The sequence below is a fragment of the Homo sapiens genome, chromosome X, assembly GCF_000001405.40.
Source record: "Homo sapiens chromosome X, GRCh38.p14 Primary Assembly".
In the NCBI taxonomy this organism is placed as follows: domain Eukaryota; kingdom Metazoa; phylum Chordata; class Mammalia; order Primates; family Hominidae; genus Homo; species Homo sapiens.
The window spans coordinates 153,822,203-153,846,634 of NC_000023.11; the positions used below are offsets into that span (position 1 = coordinate 153,822,203).

Below are 24,432 nucleotides of genomic sequence, written 5' to 3' on the forward strand. Positions count from 1 at the left end.
AAAACACACAGGAAAAGAGGGGTGTCCCACACCTTGCACAGGAAAAGCCAACCACTTCCTGAAGCCATTCTCAAGATCAACCTTCGGGTACATATTCACAGCTTTCCAGGCACGTGGCCCAGCAACTAAACCCATCCTCCCACCCACCTCAGGCTAACCTGACTGGCTAAGGGCACAGTTCACATCTAGCAACAATCAAAGCAATATTCCCTCTGCAGCGTTTTACAATCAAAGCAATATTCCCTCTGCAGCGTTTTTCATTCTCAATGCTCCAAGCAGCCATGAGGACAGGCAGAATGCACTGAAAGGGAGGACATCTTGTCCAGCCCCAGGCTGCTCAGCCTCGCCTCCTCCGGCCCAACTCCTGTGCAAAATGACCACATATGCCTCCGCTTTGTTCCCTGTCCATCTGTTTTTTCTTTCTCTCTCTCTCTCTCTCTCCCTCCCTCCCTCTCTCTCTCTCTCTTTCTCTCTGTCTTTCTTTCTTTTTTTTCCAGACACAGTCTGGCTCCATTGCCCAGGCTAGAGTGCAGTGGTACAATCACGGCTCACAGAAGCCTCCAACTCCTGGGTTCAAGCAATCCTCCCACTCAGCCTCCCCAGAAGCTGGGACTAGAGGCGCATGCCACTACGCCTGAGCAATTTTTTATTTTTGTAGAGACAAGGTCTCAATATGTTGCCCAGGCTGTCCTAACTAATATTGTACTACATCACACTTCTTCAAAACTTGGAGGTCCCTTTCCTGAGAGAAATTCTCAGAATAATATTGGACATTCTTCTGTCACTGGGCATTAACTGTGACATACCCAGATGTAAGGCCTTCTCCATATAATTTCCTTTTTCATTATTTTTTATTTAATTAATTTATTTATTTGAGACAGGGTCTCGTTCTGTCACCTAGGCTGGAGTGCAGTGGCTTGATCTTGGCTCATGCAACCTCCACCTGCTGAGTTCAAGCAGTTCTCCTGCCTCAGCCTCCCGAGTAGCTGGGACTACAGGTGCATGATGCCCAGCTAATATATATATATATATTTTTTTTTGAGATGGAGTTTCGAGCCCAAGCTGGAGTGCAATGGCGTGATCTCAGCTCACCACAACCTCCACCTCCCGGGTTCAAGCAATTCTCCTGCCTCAGCCTCCCGCGTACCTGGGATTACAGGCATGTGTCACCATGCCCGGCTAATTTTGTATTTTTAGTAGAGATGGGGTTTCTCTATGTTGGTCAGGCTGGTCTCGAACTCCTGACCTGAGGTGATCCGCCCACCTCAGCCTCCCAAAGTGCTGGGATTACAGGCGTGAGCCACCACGCCTGGTCAATTTTTTGTATTTTTAGTATAGATGGGGTTTCACCATGCTGGCCAGGCTGGTCTCGAACTCCTGACCTCATGATCCACCCGCCTCGGCCTCCCAAAGTGCTGGGATTACAGGCGTGAGCCACCGCACCCAGCCAATTTCCACTTCTTAATGACCAACTGAATGGCCCGAGGGCAGCAACTCCCTCCTCCACCCAGTGAGATCCCGGGGGACACACCATCTGTTTTCCTTGTCACAATGGCCCTCGGACGCAAGCACTCTTCACTGCCATTTCACAGTTGAGGAAACTGAGTCACTGAGCCAGTGGGCCATGCAGCGACTTGCCCCTGGCCACACAGCTGTCAGTTGGTGGCTGCCTCCATTCCTATCTCCACACTGCACTGCCTTCTCTGGCAGGGCCCCTGAAGTAGAAGGAAGGAAAGGACACCTTTCTCCCCAGGATGCGTGCATGTGGCCATGGAGTTCCTGTTCTAAAGCTTTGGTGAGGTCTGTTGCTGGGTGGTAACCTGCACATCTTCAGTGTGCAAAGGGCAGGTGTTCATATGTCATACATGAACCTGGGGAACCATCACCACCGTCAGGACAGTGGCCATTTCTATCTTCCCCAAAAGTGTCCTCATGCCCCTCTGCCCATCCCTGCAACCACGAATCTGCTCTCTGGCACTATCGAATTTCATTTCAGCAGACTGGACAGTCCTCAGGAACCCCGAGATGAGAGGGGAAAGGGCATTCTACAATCTTGGGACAATGACACAAAACAGGATGACCTGGTCCAGAAGATGGCAGTCAGAATTCAGTGTCCAGCCCTCTGTTCTTCCACTCCACAAGGACTTTCTCAGAGCCTGCTTCTTCCCCAGTCAGCTTCTGCGGCAGAACCACTGAGTTGACTGAGAGTCCAGCTTTCCCCTGGAAGGGTGGAGGCCAGCGTGGATGTGCTGGCAGCATCTGGTGCTGGTGAGGCGGGGAGGCAGAGTGCCCATGCCAGACCCAAATCCCTGCTCACAGGAAGCCCCCATGCAAGCAGGAGGGAGCCAGAGAAGCCACCTGGCTTGGTGGGTGGGAGAGCAGTTTGGAGGAAGACGTCGCTGAAGAGGGGACACTGGCTGCCAGCCACGCTCCCGCACTCAAGCAGTACTTTCTCTCCCCCGCAGTTGCCTACATGTTGGCGATGGTCTCCCCCTTACAAAAAGGGGAGCCTGGGGCCAGGCGTGGTGGCTCACTCCTGTAATCCCAGCACTTTGGGAGGCCGGTGTGGGTGGATCACCTGAGGTCGGGAGTTCAAGACCAGCCTGACCAACATGGAGAAACCCCATCTCTACTAAAAATACAAAATTAGCCAGGCATGGTGGCGCATGCCTGTAATCCCAGCTACTCGGGAGGCTGAGGCAGGAGAATCGCTTGAACCCTGGAGGCGGAGGTTTTGGTGAGCCCAGATCGTACCATTGCACTCCAGCCTGGGCAACAAGAGCGAAACTCTGTCTCAAACAACAACAACAACAACAACAAAAGGGGAGTCTGGGGGAGGGGCAAGGCCCTGTCTGCAGTGTCTCCCTGCTGAATGCCACGCACCCAGGATGGCTGCCAGCACCATGGGGGCTCACATGCAGGTGCTTTAGGCAAGAATGCCTGGGAGATCACCAGAAGGGCTGGCCAGCTGTCCTTTGGCCTCCCTCGATGTGGACAGAGGGGAGATGACAGGCGGTCCTGACCCACTCCCCCTGTAAAGCCTGAGTAGGATGGGCGGGAGACCAGTCCTAAGTACCAGGGGTTTATCCCCTGACCATCTCCGGCGTGCTCGGATGCTAGCAAGCACATCATGGTGTCAGAGAGGGGGTGCCAAGGCCAAGACAAGTTCAGCAGAGTGTGGACCACGATGAGATATATGACAAGGGGGCCTGGTGGCAGTGGAGGGACATGGGCTGCAGAAAAGGCTCCGGAGCTGGGGACATGCTGTTTCCTGCCTTCCATTCTGGGCAACCAGCCTGCTTCCTTTTCCTAACTCAACACGCAGTAATCCTCCATTTTCAGGGGAGGTCCCAGATTTTCCAAACTAGGAGGACATGATTGGAATATAGGAATGGGGCTGAGGTTCCGACATGACACACGAAAGTGCCTGTGACAACCCACATCCGTGGAATAAAGGAACCATGTGGTCATCTCACTAGCCACAGAAGCAGCACTGCACAATCCAATGCCTCTCATGATAAAAACACACTAGGAATAGAATGGGAACTTCCTTACCCTGATAAAGGACAGCTATGAAAAAGCCACAGCTAACTTTATACCCCCTAGTGAAAGACTGGAAGCTTCTTTACCTTTAAGATGAGGAACAAGGGAAAGACATTCACAGGCACTTCTATTCAACATTGTACTAGAGACTCCAGCCAGAGCAAATTAACAAGAAAAAGAAATCGAAGGGCCAGGAACGGTGGTTTACACCGGTAATCCCAGCACTTTGGGAGGCCGAGGCGGGCAGGATTGCTTGAGGCCAGGAGTTCAAGACTAGCCTGGCCAACATGGCAAAAGCTCGTCTCTGCTAAAAATACAAAAATTAGCTGGGTGTGGTAGTGTGTGCCTGTAATCCTAGCTACATGGGAAGCTGAGGCAGGAGAATCACTTGAACCCGGGAGGCGGAGGCTGCAGTGAGCCGAGATTGCACCACTGCACTCCAGTCTGGGTGACAAAGTGAGACTGTGTCTCAAAAAAAAAAAAAAAAAGAAAGAAAGAAAAGAAAAGAAATCAAAGCCATCCAGATTGGAAAGGAAGAAGAAAAACGATTTCTATTTGCCAATGACATGATCCTAATATGTAGATAATCCTGAGGAATCTACTAAACAAATTATACTTAATAAACAATTTTAGTAAGGTCGCAAGATATAGGATCAATGTATAAAAATCAATTTTTTTTTTGAGACAGAGTCCTGCCCTGTCACCCAGGCTGGAGTGCAGCGGTGCAATCTCAGCTCACTGCAACCTCTGCCTCTGGGGTTCATGCGATTCTCTTGCCTCAGTCTCCTGAGTAGCTGGGATTACAGGCACACATCACCATGCCCCGTTAATTTTTTTTGTATTTTTAGTAGAGACGGGGTTCCACTATGTTGGCCAGGCTGGTCTTGAACTCCTAAGCACAGGTGAGCCACCCGCCTTGGCCTCCCAAAGTGCTGGGATTACAGGTGTGAGCCAACACGCTCAGCCAATCAATTGTATTTCTATACAGTAGCAATGAGAAGGCTGAAAGTAAAATTAAGAAAACGATTCCATTTATGATAGCATCATAAAGAAAATACTCATGAATAAACTTAAACAAAAGTGCAAAACATCATGTAAAGAAATTAAAGACCTAAATAAATGGAAAACGCACCCCATGCTCATGAACAATACTACCCAAATTGATCCACAAATTTGATGCAATCTCTATCAAAATGCCAACTGGCTTCTTTCCAGAAATTAACAACCTGATCCTGAAATTAATATGGAAACTTGAGGGACTTAGAATAGACAAAACAGTCTTGAAAAAGACGTACAAAGTTGGAGGACTCTCATTTCCTTACTTCAAAACTTACTACAAAGCTGCAGTAATGAAAGCAGTGTGGCGCTGGCTTAAGAACAGACATTTTTCTAAAGAAGATCCACAAATGGCCAACAAGCACAAGAAAAGGTGCTCATCATTTAGCTAACAGGAAGTGCAAATCAAAATCACAATGAGATACCACTTCACACCCAGCAGGACGGCCATAACAAAAACCCAGAAAATAACAACTGTTGGCAAAGATATAGAGAAATTGGAACCCTTATATGTTGCTGGTGGGAATGTAAACTGGTTCCAGCCACTGTGGAAAACAGTTCAATGGCTACAGGCACACACTCCAAAGAATTAAAAGCAAGGACTCAAACAGATACAAGTAGACCAGTGTTCACAGCAGCGCTATTCACAACAGCCCAAGGGTGGAAGCACCCCAAATGCTCATCAACTGACGAATGGATAAATATGTTGTATATCACAAAATGAAATATTATTTGGCAATAAAAAGAAATTGACTATTGATACATGGATGAACCTTGAAAACATTATGATTAATGAAAGCCAGACACAAAAGGTCAGTTTCTATGAAATGTTTAGAATAAACAAATCCATAGAGACAGGAAGTAGATTGGTGGGTGCCAGGGGCTAGGAAGTTTGAGGGAGAAATGGGGATGTGATTGCTAAGGAGTGCAGGGTTTCTTTTGGGGTGATGAAAACGTTCTGGAATTACTGGTGTGGGCTGCACAACCTTGTGAGTATACTAAAAACCACTGACTTGTACACTTTGAAAGGGTAAGTTGTGCAGTAGGAGAATGATAGCTCAATACAGCTGTAATTTTGGAAGTGTTGTGAGTCATTGGCAGAAAATGGCTTGGAACACAAGGCTAGGCTAGAGACTTGGGGGTTCCTGGCCTGGGGATCCCAGGCCTCTGTGGATTGTAGATGGAAGGCGCTGCAGATGCACATGTGCTTCTTTCTGAAAATCAGGCCCATGAAGTGCCTCACCCTGACAAGGTGCGGACGAGGTTACTCAGGGGGGACAGGGAGAAGTGCCCCCTAAAGATGGGGGAGCACCCGTGTTTAAGGAGGCCGGGAGGCAGGCACGGGGTCCCAGAAGCTGACCTGTCTTTTGGAACAAAAGCTCCTTCTCCTCTGAAGAGGCTGGGACCTGGTGATGCGTCCACCCCCAGAAGCGCAGTCCCCTGGGACAGCTCATGGCTTGCACTGCTTTCCGTATCTACTTTTTTCAGTCCTCTTGTTTTCCCTTAGTTGTGAAGGATGGTTCTCCTCGTAAAATCCCGGCTTTGATTGGGCCAAGGAGGAATGTAGAAAGTGAAAGTTTGCAGCCAAACTCCCACGGTTTCAAAGGGAGCCCAGCAGGAAAGCGCACAGAGGGCGCATGCGGCAGTGGCCCTCCTCCTGGCGGGTCTCCTTGGGGTGGGCAAGTCCCTTCCATGAAGGAGAGCTTAGGGCGCAGAGCAGGGAGGGCCCACCCAAGTTCACCTCCCTGAAGGCAGGCCCAGCCCGACCTGCCGAGGCCTTCCCGGAGGGCTGTGGGGAGCCCCAAGGGCTACCGGTGTCGTCCCATGGCTCATTTCAGGCCTGGGGTGCAGCTCGGGTCGCTCTCCCCTATCCACACGTCCCCACGAGGTTGGCCTTAAATGAAGTGCGACACCAATCCTTCTCCAGGAAAGTCAAAACGGCCCCGGAGGAATCGCTTGGAGAAATCGCTTGCCGTTTGATGGAATGACTCCCGAAAAGGAAGCAGGAGGATGGGATCCAGAGTCCCCGTCAACCAACCATCCCAGCCCTGGAATCCAACACGGATTCCACAGGACGCCCTCTCGGTCGCATTCCTATCCCGCTAGGGGGCTGGCAATGGCCACACAAGGTTTCCAAACAGCGGGAACAAGAGACGAGGAGTGGCAGCCGGGAACTGAGAGGGAAGAAGGCGGAGGACAGCGAACGGGAGAAGCCGAGGGCCCCGCGCACCCCCGGAGAAGGGCCGGGGAGAGAGGACCAGGAGCTCCGCCAGGGTGGGGCAAGATTTGCGTCCCCGCCCTGCCCCTCGGCTCCCGCACCAGGTGGCCAGAGGAGCTCGGCTCACAGCGTGAAGTCAGTCCCCGGATTCCTGGGAATTCTCCCCCGTGCCCAGCCCCTCCTTCCCCCGCCCCCGCCCCCGCCCCGGAGTTCTCGCCGATCCCTGCACGGGTTCCCCCACGTTCTCCCAAGCCAACACCCCTCCTGCAAAGCACTTGATTCCTTCCCAGTCCAGACCAATAAACCCGGGAGTTGAATCCAGGCCACTAAACGCATACCTGTCTGAGCCCTGTCTGCTCCTGGGTGCCTTGACCTTGACCTCCCTCCACTTAGCCCTAGGAGGTCTCAGCCCACAGCATCCGGGACATTTCTCTAGACAGTCTGCAGGGTGCACACAGAAAGTACACAAATGCGGGGCCGGGGGAGCCTCCGCGCACACAGAGACGGGGCACAGGAACGCACTCACGTAGTCACGCCACGCACAGGCAAGAAGCCCCGTTCCGGGCCGCGGGGCTGGGCTCCAGGTCCGAGCTCCGGGCCCCGCGTCTCCTTCCCTCCCCGCGGGGCCCTGCTGGTCCACGCCCCGCAAAGCCCGGCCAGGCACTGCCACCCGCAGAGAGCCCAACCCGCTGATCCCGGCGGCGCCCACTCACCCGAGACGCCTAAGGCCCGGGAGCCCATCGTTCGGGCAGGGCCAGGCGGGAGTGGGTGTCGGGGTGGGCACCCAGCCCCCGGACGGACTTGGACCGCGCCCGGGGACGCCCACGCACTCCCACGCTCCAGGCCCGCCGGGATCTAGATTCGGCGCCCCCCGCACGGCGGGAGCCTGGCTCCCTCCCCCGCCCTGGGTCCTGCGGGGAGAGCGTGTGCGGGGAACTGCGCTCGTTGCTATGCAACCTCCATCCCGCGCCCGCCGCACCGCGCCTCCCGGGACGGAAGCGCGCCCCACCCGGGCCAACCCCAACTTCCCACCCCACCCGTGGCTGGTTCCCACGGAGCGCCAACACCCAACAGCCCCAGGATGGGAGGGTGCGGACGGCTCCCTACCTTGTCCTCCTCGAGCCCTCCCGCTCTCCCACGCCCGCCGCTCCGGGCCTCCCCACTGGCCCGCTCCTCCCCGCGGAGGGCCGCGCCCCCGCCGCAGCGCCGGCGGCCCTACCTGCAGCATCACTTTGTACTGCTCCTCCGGTTTCTGGACCACGCACATATTACATCCCATGTTGCTGGCCGGCGAGAGGAGGCGGAGGGCGGGAACGGGAAGACGCCTTTCACTGACCCGGGCGCGGGACCTCGGGTCCCGGGCCGGGGCCAGGGGCCATACCCTGGCGCGGGGGGCGGGCCGCCTAGCGGGGGAGGGGGGCACGCCCCCGAGGTGGGGGCAGCGGCTCGCCCCTCAGGTTAACTCTTCGCTGGCCGAGGCCAGGCGCGGGCATGCTCCCTCGCACCCGGCCAGGAGAAAAAGGGCAGCGGGGGATGGGCGGGCGCGCCGGGCGTTGCCAGGCTACGGCCCCCCAGGGAGCGCGGGGGCGCGCCGGGCCGCCAGGGGCCGTCAGGGGCCGTGGGCCGCGCGCCTCCCCGCCCGCGGGGCCCGCCGCTGCCGCTGCCGCCTCCGGCTCCTGCCCATGGCCGCCAGCCCCGGGAGCCCGGCCCTCGCGCTCGGCGCCGCGGCCCGGCCCGCGACAGGGGGGCAGCGGCGCGGCGGCGGCCCCCGCCCGCGGCCAGGCCAGCGCCCGCGCTCCCGCCTCGCCCGGCCGCGCTCTCGGAGCTCCCGGCGCCCGCTCTTCGTCCAGCAGCCGCTGGCCGTCTCCAGCTCCCGCCCGGGACGACGGGCACGCGAGCGCGCCCACGGCGGCGGGGGAGGGGCGCGGGCACGGGGCGCACGCGCGCCGGGAGGGGCGGGGAGGGGAGCGGGGCCGGCTGCGGGAGGGAGCGGCGGGGGCGCTGGAGCCGGCGCGGGAAGCCGGGGGCGGGCGCTCGACGGAAGCGGGCGGGGGTCCTAGGCACCCCACGACACCCGGCGTCCGGTCCTGAGGGGCGGGCACCAGGCGCGTTGTCTGCGCGATGCCGCTCTGGGAGAGAGGGGTCCTGCCAGGAGGAGCAGTCTCCTGGGTCCCCCAGAGAGAGTCCGCGATTTCAGCCCCTCTCCCCGGTCTTGGACGCAGCAGCCCTCACGCCTCTGCTCCTTCCTCGGGCTTCGCCTTAAATGACTGCATCCCTCCTTCAACTCAGCCATTCCCTGCTGTCTTTGAAACGGACACCTTTGTTTAAAACAAGAAAGAAAGAGAGAAAGGGAGGAAAGAAAAGAAAGAGAGAAAGAAAAAAGGATGAGCGAAGCGTGGGGAGGGGGTGGGTCGTGGGGAGAGTGGCCTCGGAGGCCTTGGGACCCGGGCCTGCACACAGCACTGGCCAGCCTGGGCCCGCCGCCTACCTGTTCCTCAGCCCCAGCCCTCACCCGGTCCCCGCTTTCACAGCCCTTCCATCTCTTCCTCTTCTCTCCCACCACCTCCCCGTCTTCTTGGACAAGCCTGGAGGGAGAAGGCCTTTGCCTGGAAAGCAGCAGCGGGTGGAAGTCTGCGTTCCCAGAGGCTGCCCCGGCTGCAGGAGATCACTTGGAGAAATTGCTACATGCTTCATTTCCAGGTTTGGGCAAGTGAGGGAACCCCCAGCCACACGGGGCTGTTGAATCGGAGCCCTTCCTTTCCTCCCTGGCTCCTCGTTAGAAGAGAAATCAAGAATGGCGGGCCTGCCCAGAATGTGGAGAAGAGAGGCGAGTTTCTTATCCAGGGCTTCTCCCAGAAAGCAGAACTTGAGACAAGGGCTGGTGTGCAGGTTGCAACCTGCCACCCAATGGCTGGCTAGTCTTGAGGAATGGCGTCATATTGAGGGCTCAGCATCGGTCTCTGCAGCTGGTGGATGGAAGAACATTCACTAGCGGCAGTGTCTAGATGAGCCGTGGTAAGAGGAAGCCCTTGCCGTTGGGCTTATACAGAGCCTCCAGCCCTCCCACCATGGCCACTGGCATCGTGGGTCCATCGCATCCTGGGGAGAAGCTGGCTGACCTCCACCAGATGGTCCCCTCTGTTCGCTAGCTTCTGGCGCGCCCCCTCCACACTGCATGCTCCCCAGCGGCATGGGCGCGAAGACGAGCACGGGGCCCCACACTCTCCCTGAGCACTCCCGTAGGTACCTCTTCGCCAAACCTGTCTCTTCTTCCAATCTTCCTCCACCCGGGTCCCTGACCAGTCAGCCCAGCCATTTTCCACTGCCCGGGGGTCATGGACACCTTCATCTCAGGCCATTTCTCCCTCTACAAAGTAGACAACCTAGTGTCTTGCTCCCCTAGAGGATGTCCCCTCACTGCTGTCTCTCAGGGCCACCCTGCAAAGGGCCTCAGTGTGACAGCAGGTGTTTTTCCTAGTGGTGACATGAGATGACCAGTCGAGGACCTGGGTCTGAGTCAGTCATGGGGACACCCCATCACCACCTCCCATGAGGCCATAGGTGTGAGCTGAAGGGGCATACCAGTGTGAAAGAGCCGGGTGACCGGGGGTCTGGACTGCCTGGGCCTCAATGTGCCATCTCCACCTCAATATTCAGTTCACAATGGGTGGCTTGGGTCACACAGGCCCTGGATGCCCCATGATCAGGCTGTAAGTCTCTCCTAGGTCCCAGTAGCATGGCCACAGCTATGCTTTTTTCAGTGGTGAGTGAGTAGCTCTGCCACCGAAGGTGTGGCCCTGCCACAGCCTCTATGGTCCCTGCTGGGATCCTTCCATTGAGGCTTCCTGAGGGTTCCGCACAGCATCCTGGCCTACCATGGACAGATCCCTCCAGCACCGTTAGGTTGGCGGGCTCTCGCTGCTGGTGGCAGAGCAGCTTGCCCCGCAGCCCAGTCCTCCTGCAGGGTCCTTTCTTGCTCTGGATCCCACTCAAAACAGGTCTCAGTTAGCCGGGCGTGGTGGCACGCACCTGTAGTCCCAGCTACTCAGGAGGCTGAGGCGGGAGGATGGCTGGCCCCAGGAATTCAATGTTACAAGGAGCTGTGGTTGCACCACTGCACTCCAGCCGGGGCCACAGAGTGAGACTCAGTCTCTAAAACAACAAAACAAAAAAAGAACCGGTCTCGCCTGTGTGTCCGAAACCCCGCTCCATTAGACATTCCACCAGTTTGGTGATCTACCCAGCATCATGCCAGATAAATCCATTTTCTTGCTAAAGTTAGAGTCAGCTTCTCCCTGTAATCAGAAAACCCTAACAAATATACAGCCCTGGGAGAGCGTCCGGGAGGAAGGACATGAGAGACAGCTGATCATGGGGCAGTTACTGCGCTTGACAGTGCAGCTTGAGGACAGTGCAGTGACATCCCAGCACAGCAGTCAGGCTGGAGCGGGCGATTGCGCTCAAGATAGAGACAGGGTGAGGGCGGCACCACCATGCTCCCCGGGGCACTCCAGCATTCTTTAACCTGAAGATGGGTACCCAGGTGAGTCTGGCCCAGATTCCTATCTGGATGGGTCCTATCTTACTCTGTGCTGATGAGGTAGGTCCCTGCTCTCCCTCCACGTCCCAGAGCTTGGACCCACTGAGGATGCCATGACACCCCACAGAAGGGCTCCACTCTGACCCACCATAGAGAGCTGCAAAAAGGCCATGGTGCTCTTAGAAGCAGGACACACAGAAGATCCCACCCTTCTGACTACAGTTGTCCTTCGGTGTCCACGGGGCATGGGTTCCAGGCTTCCCCCTACTGGGGATACCAAAATCCATGGACACCCAAATCCCTGATCTAAAATGACATACTATTTGCATAGGACCTTTGCTCATCCTCTCTAATGCTTTAAATCTTCTCTAGATTACTTGTATTACCGGATGCAATGTCAGTGTTACATAAACAGTTATAGTGTAATGATTTTTTTTTTTTTTTTTTTTTTTTTTTGAGATGGAGTCTCACTCTGTCGCCCAGGCTGGAGTGCAGTGGCGCGATCTCGGCTCACTGCAAGCTCCGCCTCCCGGGTTCACACCATTCTCCCACCTCAGCCTCCCTAGTAGCTGGGACTACAGGTGCCTGTCACCATGCCCGGCTAATTTTTTGTATTTTTAGTAGAGACAGGGTTTCACCGTGTTAGCCAGGATGGTCTCGATCTCCTGACCTCGTGATCCGCCCAACTCGGCCTCCCAAAGTGCTGGGATTACAGGCATGAGCCCCTGTGCCCGGCCTGATTTGTTTTTTAATTTGTATTATCTTTATTGTTGTATTGCTATTTTTTATTTTTCAAGTGTTTTCCATCCATGGCCAGTTGAATCCTCAGATGTGAAACCCACGGATATGAAGGCCAACTGTATTTTTTCCACTGGATGCGTGCAATCCCCAGTCCCCAGCCCAGCCGTGTCAGATGTGTGAGTGGGGACCCATGTTTCCCAGGAGTCTCTAACGACCTTGCCCACTGGCTTTTCCAGAAGGGACTGTCAGGGAGGCTGAAGCCAGACCACGACCCAGAAACTCTGTCCAGCTCCCTTCTCCTGGGAGCCTTGGCCTGGAGTAACCGGGTTGCCCTTTCCTTACTTGGCCATGAGCTGAGTTTGCTGCTTTGTTTTCTCTCTCTCCATGGGTCGTGCTGTTGGCCTTGTATCTAAAGAAGTCATCACCAAACCCAGTGTCACCTGATGTTCCCATGTTATCCTCTAGGATTCGATAGTTTTGTGTTTTACATTTGAGTCCATGATCTGTTTTGAGATAATGTTTGTGAAGGATGGAAGGTCTGTCTCAGATCATTTTTCTCACAGTTCTGGAGGCTGGGAAGCCCAAGATCACAGTGCCAACTGGTTCCATGCCTGGTGAAGGTCTGTTCCATCAATGATATCTTCTCATGATGTCCTTACGTGTTGGAAAAGGGGAGTAAAGCAAGACCACTGCATGAAGCCTCTTTTATCAGGGCACTAATCCTGTTCATGAGAGTAGAGCCCTCATGACCGAATCACCTCTCAAAGGCCCCACCCTGCGATACCATCATCTTGATAATTAGGTTTCAGCATATGAATTTTGGAAGGCCACATACCTTCAAGCCACAGCAGTCTGTGCCTAGGTTCATTTTTCCATGTGGATGTCCAGTTGTTCCAGCACCATTTGCTGGGAAGGCTACCGTTTCTCCATTGAATTGCCTTTGCTCTTTGGTCTATTTCTGCTACACTTTTTTTTTCTTTCTTTCTTTCTTTTGAGACAGAGTCTCGCTGTGTCACCCAGGCTGGAGTGCAGTGGCACAATCTTGGCTCATTGCAACCTCCGCCTCCCGGGTTCAAGAGATTCTCCTGCCTCAGCCTCCCTAGCTGCTGGGATTACAGGCACCTGCCACCACACCCAGCTAATTTTTGTATTTTTAGTAGAGACGGCGTTTCACCATGTTGGCCAGACTGGTCTTGAACTCCTGACCTCAGGTGATCCACCTACCTCAACCTCTCAAAGTGCTGGGATTACAGGTGTGAGCCACCTGCACGTGGCCTACTACGCCATTTTTTCAGATGGGCAGGGCCCCGGAGGGCTTCTCATGTTCTCATATGAACGTGGTATTTTCCTTCTGTCTTTCGTTGTTGTTGCTTCAAGTTGACAGAGCCAGATTATCATTATCCATCAACACTTGTCCACCCAAGGCCCTCTTTCGTTTTATTTTCTGTTTAGAAAATAAGCTAAGGCCGTGCGCGGTGGCCAACACTTTGGGAGGCCGAGGTGGGCGGATCACCTAAGGTCAGAAGTTCGAGACCAGCCTGGTCAACATGGTGAAAGCCAGTCTCTAACAAAAATACAAAAAAAAAATAGCCAGATGTGGTGGTGCATGCCTGTGATCCCAGCTACTCAGAAGGCTGAGGCAGGACAATCACTTGAACCTGGGAGGTGGAGGTTGCAGTGAGCCGAGATTGTGCCACTGCACTCCAGCCTGTGTGGCAGAGACTCCATCTCAAAAAAGTAAATCAATAAGGCTGGGCGAGGTGGCTCAAGTCTGTAATCCCAGCACTTTGGGAGGCCGAGGCGGGCAGATCACAAGGTCAGGAGTTCAAGACCAGCCTGGCCAACATGGTGAAACCCCGTCTCCATTAAAAATTCAAAAAAATTAGCCGGGCGCAGTGGCAGGCGCCTGTAATCCCAGCTACTCAGGAGGCTGAGGCAGGAGAATTGCTTGAACCCGGGAGGCAGAAGTTGCAGTGAGCTGAGATCGCGCCACTGCACTGCAGCCTGGGGGACAGAGCAAGAATCCATCTCAGAAAATAAATAAAATAAAATAAATACAAAATAAGCTAATGAATGTCTGTAAGTCCACTGGCCAGCCCAGGAATGGGCCCCGTACCAATGCCCTACTGAAATACACCCAGGTGCTCTGCTGTCTCCCCAACACCACCTCCCCACTCCAAGATAACCAGTATCCTGCATTTTGCATTTATTATTCTCCTGCTTTTGAAAATTTTGATAGCAGCCAGGGCAACATAGTGACACCACGTCTTTACAAGAAATTAGAAAATCAGCCAGGCATGGTGGTGCGTTACTGTGGTCCCAGCTACTCAGGAGGCTGAGATGGGAGGACCACTTAAGCCCAGAAGGTCAAGGCTGCAGTGAGCTATGATCACACCACTGTACTCCAGCCCGGGTGACAAAGCGAGACCCTGTCTGGAAAAAATATATCAAAAAAATAAAAAATAATAAAATAAAATTGTGATAGAACACATATATAACACAACACTTGCCATTGTAACCATTTTTCAGTATGACTCAGTGGTACAACTGACTTGTGTTGTATAAGTAGAGCATTCACAATGTTCGGCCATCACCACTGTTTCCCAAACACTGCCATCGCCCCAAACAGAAACTCTGCACCCGTTGAGCAATAGCTCCCCAGTTCCTGCTCCCCCAGCCCCTGGTAACCTGTAGCCACTTTCTGTCTCTGTGAATTTGCCCATTCTAGATATTTTATGTAAGTGGAATCACCATATTTGTCCTTTTGTGACTGGCTTATGTGACTTAGCATGTTGTTTTCAGGTTGATGTATCTTGTAACATACATCAGAACTACGTTCCTTTTTATGGCGCAATAGTAATCTGTTGTGCGGGTGCACCACATTTTCTTTATCCATTCATTTGTCGATGGGTGCTTGGGTTGCTTCCCACTTAGGTTTTTTTTCAGCAGGGAGTAGAGTCTGGCTCTGTTGCTCAGAATGGAGTATAGTGGTGCCATCTCAGCTCACTGCACCTTCCGCCTTCTGGGCTCAAGTGATCCTCCCTCTGATCCTCCCACCTCAGCCTCCCAAGTGGCTGGGACTACAGGCACATGCCACCACACTCAGCTAATAATTTACAATTTTTTTTGTAGAGACAGGGTCTCACTATATTGCCCAGACTGGTCTCAAACTCCTGGGCTCAAACGATCCCTCCCCCTCAGCCTCTCAAAGTGCTGGGCTTACCAGTGTGAGCCACCACCCCCGGCCTAGTTTTTTTTTTTTTTTTTAATATAGCTGTATCATATATGCTTAAAATTATATGTTCTTTAGTTGAGTTTGGGAGGCTGAGGCGGGCAGATCATCTGAGGTCAGGAGTTTGAGACCAGCCTGGCCAACATGGTGAAATCCCATCTCTACTAAAAATACAAAATTAGACGGGTGTAGTGGCATGCGCCTGTAATCCCAGCTACTCGGGAGACTGAGACAGGAGAATCGCTTGAACCGAGGAGGCAGAGGTTGCAGTGAGCTGAGATTGTGCCATTGCACGCCAGCCTGGGCAACAAGAGCGAAACTCCATCTCAAAAAATAAAAATAAATAAACAGCATTGCTGTAAACATTTGTGTACCTGTCTCCTAGTGCAAGGGGGAGAAGTTGCTCTTGTATGTATGCCTGGGAGTTACTGTAAGATCAGCCAGCATGCAACTTTACATAAGCCCTAATTGTTTTCCAAAGTGCTCCTATCAATTTACACTTCCACTAACAATGTGTACAAGATCCTTTTTGATCTACATCTTTCTCATCTATTTTTTTTTAGACAGTCTTGCTCTGTAGCCCAGGCTGGAGTGCAGTGGCGTGATCTCGGCTCGCTGCAAGCTCCGCCTCCCGGGTTCAAGCGTACATCTCCTTCAACTCTTGCTATTTGGGGGATTCCTTCGTTTTTGCCAGACTGATGTGTGCGAAACAGTACCCCACCATAATCTTGCATTTCCCTGATTACCAGCAAGGCTGCTCTTTTCTTCCATGGTTTCTGGGCCACATGTGTTTTCTCTTCTGTTTTGCCTGGAGTTGTCTTTTGCCCGTTTTTATATTTTCTTCTTCCTTTTGCTTATTGATTTGTAGGAATTTTTTACATATTCTAGACACTAATCCTTTGCCAGCTATGTGTATTCTTTCATTTGAAGCTTGCCTTTTTACTTTCTTTAAGGAGTCTTTCATAAAAAGAAGTTTCTAATTCTAGTGTAATTAAATCCATCTTATCTCTTCTTTTCTTTTCTTTTTTTTTTTTTTTTGACAGGGTTTCATTGCCCAGGCTGGAGTGCAGTGGCACAAACATGGCTCGAACTCCTGGGCTAAAGCGATCATCCCACCTCAGCTGCCCATGTAGCTGAGACTACAGGCACCCACCACACCCAGATAATTTTTTAATTTTTTGTACAGATGAGGTCACATCATGTTGTCCAGACTGGTCTCAAACTCCTGGGCTCAAGCGATCTTCCCACCTCCACTTCCCAAAGTGCTGGGATAACAGGCATGAGCCACTGTGCCCGGCTACCTTATTTTTTTCTTAAGGATTAATGCTTTTTATATCTGGTTTAAGAAATCCTTTTCTAATCCAAGGTCAGAAAGATACTTTTTACATTTTCTTTTAAGAATCTTAAAGTTTCCTTTTTGACATTTAAATCCTTAATCCATCTGGAAATTATTTTTGTGTAAGATGTGGAGGGCCTAATTTCATTTTTCCCCATTATAAATCACCTCTATTTCCTTCTCCTTTTGTTAAATAATCCCTCTTTCCTCGCTAATCTGCCTTGCCACCTTGTCATATTATATACGTATTTTTCTCTCTTTTTTTTTTTTTGAGACAGGTTCTCACTCTGTCATCCAGGTTAGAGTACAGTGGCACGATCACAGCTCACTGCAACCTCAATCTCCCAGGCTCAAGTGATTATCCCACCTCAGCCTCCCGAGTAGCTGGGACCACAGATGCATGCCACATCTGGCTTACTTATTTATTTATTTATTTTTTGCAGAGACATGTTGCCCAGGCTGTTGTCATATATTAAAGGTCCATCTTTCTGGGGTCTCTTTAGGGCTCTCTATTTTGTCCCACTGGCTACTTTGTCTACCCTCGAACTAAGGTCAGGCTTTGTTAATTATGATAGTTTTATAATAAGCCTTGTTATTTGCCAGGCAAGCCCTCCTCGTGCATCTTCAGGGTGGTCTGAGCTAGTCTTGACCTTTGCTCTACCATATACATTTTAGAATGAACTTTAGTTTCTCAAAACATCCTGTGGGGATTTTGATTAGAGTGGCATTGAATCTGTTCACTCAATTTGGGGAGATTTGACACTATCTTAACAATCACCATTGAATATCTCTCCATTTATTTAGGTCTTTTAAAGTGTGTTTAGAATTTTCTGTACATCTTTCTTTTTTCTTTTTATGATTATTATTATTTTAGAGATAGGGTCTCCCTCTGTTGTCCAGGCTGGAGTGCAGTGGCATGATCCTAGCTCACTGCAGCCTCAAACTCCTGGGCTCAAGTGATCCTCCTGCATCAGCCTCCCAAAATACTGGGATTACAGCCATGAGCCACCATGCCCCGCCCACATCTTTTATTTTACTTACTTCTGAGTTTTTTAAATTTTTTGTTGCTATTATAAATGACGTCTTTTTACAGAGCGCATTTTCTAAATACTATGGGTGGTGCATAGACATACACTTGGCTTGTGTATATTCATCATTATGTCCAGTCAGTTTGCTAAAGTCTCTTTTCTTTCTAATAATTTGTCTTTATACCCTCTTCGGAATTTTTTTTTTTGTTTTTTTCAGAAGATCACTTCATGTGAAATATTGACAGATGTATTTCCACCGTTCTAATCTTTATGCCTTGCATTTCTTTTCTTGCTATACTACCCCGGCTAGAGCCTCCGGAACAAAGCCCAGAAGAGGTGGCACAAGTGGACAGGCATGCTTTGTTACTGATTGTTAAGAAAATGCTTCTAGGCCAGGCGCGGTGGCTCTCACCTGTAATCCCAGCACTTTGGGAGGCCGAGGTGGGCGGATCACCTGAGGTCAGGAGTTTGAGACCAGCCTAGCCAACGTGGTAAAACCCCGTCTCTACTAAAAATACAAAAATTAGCCGGGCATGGTGGCAGGTGGCTGTAATCCCAGCTACTTGGGAGGCTGAGGCAGGAGAATTGCTTGAACCTGGGAGGCAGAGGTTGCAGTGAGCCGAGATCGCGCCACTGCACTCCAGCCTGGGCGACAGAGACTGCATCTCAAAATAAAAAATATATATAAAAAAAAGAAAGAAAATATTTCTAACATTTCTCTATTAATACAATTATGTGTGTATTTTATCAAGTCTAGGAAGTTCCCTTTTATTCCCAGCTTATTAAGAGTTTTTGTTATGAATAAGTGTTGAATTTTAGCAAATGCTTTTTCTGCACTTGACGAGATGACCAGCGTCTTTCTCCTTTATCCTGCTCCTGGGTTAAAAGACACTTATGAGCCGGGCGCGGTGGCTCACGCCTGTCATCCCAGCACTTTGGGAGGCCAAGGCGGGCGGATCACGAGGTCAGGAGATCGAGACTATCCTGGCTAACACGGTGAAACCCCATCTCTACTAAAAATACAAAAATTAGCCAGGCGTGATGGCGGGTGCCTGTGGTCCCAGCTACTCGGGAGGCTGAGGCAGGAGGCAGAGCTTGCAGTGAGCTGAGATCGCGCCACTGCACTCCAGCCTGGGTGACAGAGCAAGACTCTGTTAAAAAAAAAAAAAGACATTTATGGACATTCTAATATTAAATCACCTTGCTTTACTGACATTCGCTGAACTTGGTCATTATTGGCTATTTTCCTTTATACACATTTGGATTTGGTTTAGAAAAATTTTTGTGAGAGTGGGGACGTCCAGCTTCGGAGCGGGAATCTTCGCTGCGCCAGCGACTAAAAGGAGAATTAAATATGGGTGATGTTGAGAAAGGCAAGAAGATTTTTATTATGAAGTGTTCCCAGTGCCACACCGTTGAAAAGGGAGGCAAGCACAAGACTGGGCCAAATCTCCAAGGCCTCTTCGGGCGGAAGACAGGTCAGGCCGCTGGATACTCTTACACGGTTGCCAGTAAGAACAAAGGCATCACCTGGGGAGAGGATACACTGATGGAGTATTTGGAGAATCCCAAGAAGCACATACCTGAAACAAAAATGATCTTTGTCGGCATTAAGAAGAAGGAAGAAAGGGCAGACTCGATAGCTTTTCTCAAAAAAGCTACTAATGAGTAATAATTGGCCACTGCCTTGTTTATTACAAAACAGAAATGTCTCATGACTTTTGTATGCATACCATCCTTTAATAGATCTCATACACCAGAATTCAGATCATGAATGACTGACAGAATATTTTGTTGAGCAGTCCTGATTTAAAACTAAGACTGGTTTGTGGTTAAATGAATACGTTCAGTTCTTGAATTTTAATAGTAACTCCAATTCAGTAAATGCTATCACTGTTTACCCCTTCTAAAGATATGATTAGACTTCGTTAGTAATGTTCAACTTTTCACAAAGATGGTGAGTGCCGTCTTAAAACTTACTGGAGATTGGTTTTATATTTAGATTTATATGACTGGTTATGTGAATATATGTAAATACTGGGGAAATTCCTTCACTGTCTTAGAACCAAGCAAGATTCACCTGTGTTTTGTGTTCATTTGCCTCTTAAAGGCAACGGTTGAAGGTAAATAAGGGAGCAATGTCTATAGTTTTGGCCTTAACTATGCCAATCTAATTAGAATTCCCTGCATTAAAAAAAAAAAAGAAAAATTTTTGTTTAGGACTTTTGTCTCTGTATTCCAGACCAAAATGGACCTACAATCTTCCTATCTTGTTCTGTTTTTGCCTAGTTAATATTAAGGTTTTGTTGGGTAATGGTCCTTCCTTTTCAATTCTCTGGCAGAGTCTGTAGAGTTGCTAGAACTTGTCTGTAAAACCATGCGGGCCGGCTGTTTTATTTGTGGGAAGATTTTTAAACCGCTGCTTCAATCTGTTTTATACTTTTAGGGTTACTAGGGCTCGCTTGCTTGCTTTTTTTTTTTTTTTTTTTTTGAGACGGAGTCTCACTCTGTCACCTAGGCTAGAGTGCAGTGGCGTGGCATGATCTCGGCTCACTGCAACCTCCACCTCCCAGGTTCAAGTGATTCTCCTGTCTCAGCCTCCCGAGTAGGTGGGATTACAGGCACCCACCACCACGCCCGGCTAATTTTTGTATTTTTAGTAGAGACGGGGTTTCACCATGTTGGCCAGGCTGGTCTCAAACTCCTGACCTCAAGTGATCCACCCGCCTCGGCCTCCCAAAGTGCTGGGATTACAGGTGTGAGCCACCATGCCCGGCCTTTTTTTGTCTGTTTTAGTAAATTTAGTATATTTCTACTTTGTTTCAGGTTTATTGTCATCAGTAGTTGGTGGTTTATTTTTAGTCCTTAAACTGTCTGTATACATTTTCTGTATTTTCATATAATTCACAATTTTAAAGGCAAAATTAAAAAAAACAATAGGCCGGGCATGGTGGCTCACGCCTGTAATCCCAGCACTTTGGGAGGCCGAGGCGGGCGGATCACCTGAGGTCAGGAGTTCGAGACCAGCCTGGCCAACATAGTGAAACCCCGTCTCTACTAAAAATACAAAAATTAGCTGGGCGTGGTGGTGCGCATCTGTGGTCCCAGCTACTCAGGAGGCTGAGGCAGGAGAATCCCTTGAACCGGGAGGCGGAGGCTGCAGTGAGCCGAGATTACACCACTGCACTCCAGCCTTGGTGACAGAGACTCTGTCTCAAAAAAAAAAAAAAAAAAAAAAAAAAAGGTAATCACATTACCCACTTTAAAGCATACATACAATTCGGTGGTTGTTAGTATACTCACAATGTTGTGCCACCATCACTAATAATTCCAGAACATTTTCATCACCCCAAAAAGAAACCCCTTACTTGTTAGCAATCAATCTCCGTTCCCCCCTCCTCTAGCCCCTGGCAACCATTCATCTCCTTGCTGTCTCTATGGATTTGCCTATTCTGATCTTTTATATGAATGGAATCATACGCTATGTGGCCTTTTGTGTGTAGCTTCTTTCACTCAGCACAATGCTTCCAAGGCTCATCTGTGTTGTGGCATGGATCAGTATTTTATTTCTTTTTATGCCTGAATAGTATATCAAATGATGAGACCAAATCATTGTACTGTTCTTGCAACTTTTCTGTAGGTTTTTACATTTTCAAAGTAAGAAGTTGAAAAGAAAAAACTTATCTTAAGCAATCATTGGATTAAAGAGGAGAGCATACAGAAGCGACAAGCTTCGAGAGCATCGTGAAAAGAAGAACACGTCTTACCCCAACCTCTACACACAACTCAAGCTTTCCACGAGGGGCAGTTAGAATAGTCAAGATATGCATGATTAAGGAGGATAGATCAAAAGTCAACGACAACCAGAAAAAGAATGAGAGAAGCCAAAGGGGAAACAAAGGAAGGGGGAAAAAGAGAATAAAGATTAAAAACATAAAATAGTAAAAATTGTAAATAAATACAAAAGCTGATTCTTTAACAACAGAAAAAAATTGATAATTTCCTAACAAAATATAACTTTCTGAAAACCCAACAAGAACTAGAAAATTTGAGTCTACAAATTACCATTTTAAAGTAGAGAAGGAAGCCAAACTCAGTAGCTCACGCCTGTAATCCCAACAGTTTGGGAGGCCAAGGTGGGAGGATCACTTGAGTCTAGGAGTTTGAGGCCAGCCTGAGCAATATAGTGAGACTCCCATCTCTACAAAAACAAAAATTAAAAAATTAGCTGGACGTGGTGGCACACACCTGTAGTCCTAGCTGCTCAGGAGGGTGAGGTGAGAGGATCGCTTGAGCCCAGGAATTTGAGGCTGCACTGAGCTACAGTCATGCCACTGTACTCCAGCCCTGGCAATGGAGGGAGACCCTGTGTCAAATAAAATAAAATAGAGAGGGGATTCTCCATAAAAACAGTACCAACCCTAAGTAGTTTCAAAGCCAAGTCCTATATAATCTTTCAAGACAAAATAATTCTGATATCATTTAAACTATTCCAGTCCACACAAAAACATTTCATAAAGCCAACAATACCTAAACCTAGGTTGATGCCCAAACCTCCTAAACAGAGTACAAAAAGAAACCTGTGAACAACTGTCACTTCTGATTACAAATGCAAAAATTATAAATAAAAGATAAGCACATGGATTCCAGCGATATAGCAAAAGAATAAGACATTATGTCTGAGCAAGACATAATATTCTATTATTATGAATAGAATAGAATTTCGGGTCTACTCCAGAAATACAGAGGTGATTGAACATCAGGAAATCTTTCCACAGAATTCATTACTCAGCAAATTAAAGGAGGAAACTCACAGGATCACTAGTTGCTGACTAGGCATTTGATGCATTTCGACAGGCGTTCCTTGAAAAAGAAAGAACATCTCTTCTAAAAGGATACTGGGTAGAAACACGTAAAGGTGGTAGTGAGAGACAGCATTTCCACTCTTCTGCATAGCAACACAAAAGCAACGGGGTGCATGGAAACCCCCTGCCAACTCCATTGTTGGCCAAAGGAGGAGTCAGACAGCCTCCTAGCAAGCAAAGCAGAAATCTTTCCCAAGCCCCAGGTCCTGAAGATATTCTCCTGTTGTCTTCTACAAGCTTTATTGTTTTGCCTTTTGTTCTTAGATCTACAACATACCTGGAATTGATTTTTTTGTGTATAATGTCAGGCAGTGGTCAAAATTTGTTTTTTCTTTAAAAAAAAAAAACAAAAAGACTTCCAGGCTGAAGATCCTCAAGAAGGATTCTGTAGGGTCTTATTACAAGGTCCATTTTGGGTCTTGTTTTTAAGCAATGCCAGGAAGCTGACCAAAGTACTCTCTTCCTTTAAAAGCAACAGTGCATTGAGATGCATCTCCCTTTGAGGGCAGAGGCATTTGCTTACACATATCGGAACTTGGGCACTTTTACATTGCAAGGGAGCCATTGGCAATTCTCTGGTCCCATCACAATTGCCTGCTGGAGAAAATGCACAGTGTGAACCCCTGGGGAGGGGATATTGCCAATTCTATGACTTGCACAACTCGCAAATCAAGTCCTTCCTCTCCTTTCATGCCTTCATGGTCTCAGTGCCCGCCCTCTGCATCCTTGGGACGAGGCCATGACCCAAAGGGGCTGCTAGGGCGCTAGTCTTCTTCCTTTCTGTCTTTGCAATGCCTCCAGTGGGTTACCTGTGATGCACACCGCATTCTGGTTTAATGCGTATTCAATTATAAATTGTTTTCTTTCTCTTCTACTTTTGTGGAGAGGTTTTCTGGGTTGGGAGAAGATTTTGTTTTTAATTAAATTTCCCCAACATACTCCATAGCAATGGGGAAAGGAGTTGTCCCCTTTCCCCATTGCTATGGAGTATGTTGGGGAAATGTAACTCATCTGACCAGGCACTTTCTCAGGCATCAGTCCCAATCAAGTTATGTTATTATAACAGGTGTTGTCCTTTCCCCATTGCTATGGAGTATGTTGGGGAAATTTAATTAAAAACAAAAGACAGAAAGGGCCTCACTCTTCTATACAGCTAAGTGGGTCTGTATCCACTACAGTAGGCAGGTTTCACAATTCGGAGCCAGGTGGCAGCTGAAACTGAGAGATGAAGAGAGTTATCTTCCTGGATGATTAATTACATTTCGAAAAGCTGGCTCCCGGATCCCAGAGGAGAGGAAACATTCCTGAGTTGTGAAACTGGCCAGAGCTTCTTTAGCCATTAAAAACATCTACATACATTTGAAAAGGACAGAGAAAGAAATTCCAAAAGATAAAGGAAAAAGGTGCAGGGAGTCTCTTACCTTATTTTCAACAGAGAGAATTAAGCCTCTTGTTTTTAATCTGTATTTGCCCTTACAATCTTCTTCCTGTGTTACTATGAAATAATAACATTGCGATATTTAATTAACACCATTGTTGCTTTTACCTTCTTCTGGGCAAGTTGCAGATGCCTAAATATCCAGCTAGCCCGTAGTAAAATGCAAAACAATGACCACAATTGCAATAGCATCAGTTTTTGAATTCAGTACAATACTTGCCTTGGAGGACAACCTTCAAATATATCACATCAATGGTTCAGGGTTCAATCAGATTCTTTGTAGGCAAATGTGTAAACATTTCCCTCCATCACACATTAATTGTACTAGCTGTCATGACATCTTCATTGCCTGAGCTTTCAAATGGCTAACCATTTGAATATTATTTCATGGCTCCTTACAAAATCTTATCCAATCCAAGCTTAAGGAGTAGTTTA

General features: G+C 49.5%; 1 protein-coding gene and 1 pseudogene across 6 annotated transcripts in view, besides 4 other annotated features; one reads left to right on the forward strand and one right to left on the reverse strand.

Moving 5' to 3' along the window:
- PDZD4 (PDZ domain containing 4) overlaps window positions 1-8,342 on the reverse strand; it is a 28,379-nt gene extending 20,037 nt beyond the window's left edge. For 4 of the 6 annotated variants that reach the window (NM_001303514.2, NM_032512.5, NM_001303512.2 and 1 more), the window contains exon 1: window positions 8,037-8,342. In NM_001303514.2, coding sequence (NP_001290443.1) covers window positions 8,037-8,096 — 60 coding nt within the window. In that variant the 5' untranslated portion in view covers window positions 8,097-8,342. Of the gene's footprint in view, window positions 1-7,530; window positions 7,758-8,036 lie in introns of those variants that run through there. The other 2 variants (NM_001303516.2, NM_001303515.2) reach the window with 1 other exon arrangement.
- Window positions 4,722-5,300: an enhancer, noted in NCBI's record as "OCT4-NANOG hESC enhancer chrX:153092379-153092957 (GRCh37/hg19 assembly coordinates)". NCBI's record gives its function as "activates a minimal SCP1, AML or CMV promoter by ChIP-STARR-seq in naive H9 embryonic stem cells {active_cell/tissue: H9 hESC(naive)}" and the evidence as "EXISTENCE:reporter gene assay evidence [ECO:0000049][PMID:30033119]".
- Window positions 11,985-12,231: a silencer, noted in NCBI's record as "fragment chrX:153099642-153099888 (GRCh37/hg19 assembly coordinates)". NCBI's record gives its function as "represses an EF-1alpha promoter that drives an FKBP-Casp9 reporter gene in an ReSE screen in HepG2 liver carcinoma cells {active_cell/tissue: HepG2}" and the evidence as "EXISTENCE:reporter gene assay evidence [ECO:0000049][PMID:32094911]".
- CYCSP45 (CYCS pseudogene 45) lies at window positions 18,981-19,466 on the forward strand (annotated as a pseudogene).
- Window positions 22,422-23,290: an enhancer, noted in NCBI's record as "NANOG-H3K27ac hESC enhancer chrX:153110079-153110947 (GRCh37/hg19 assembly coordinates)". NCBI's record gives its function as "activates a minimal SCP1, AML or CMV promoter by ChIP-STARR-seq in naive and primed H9 embryonic stem cells {active_cell/tissue: H9 hESC(naive and primed)}" and the evidence as "EXISTENCE:reporter gene assay evidence [ECO:0000049][PMID:30033119]".
- Window positions 23,291-24,158: an enhancer, noted in NCBI's record as "NANOG-H3K27ac hESC enhancer chrX:153110948-153111815 (GRCh37/hg19 assembly coordinates)". NCBI's record gives its function as "activates a minimal SCP1, AML or CMV promoter by ChIP-STARR-seq in primed H9 embryonic stem cells {active_cell/tissue: H9 hESC(primed)}" and the evidence as "EXISTENCE:reporter gene assay evidence [ECO:0000049][PMID:30033119]".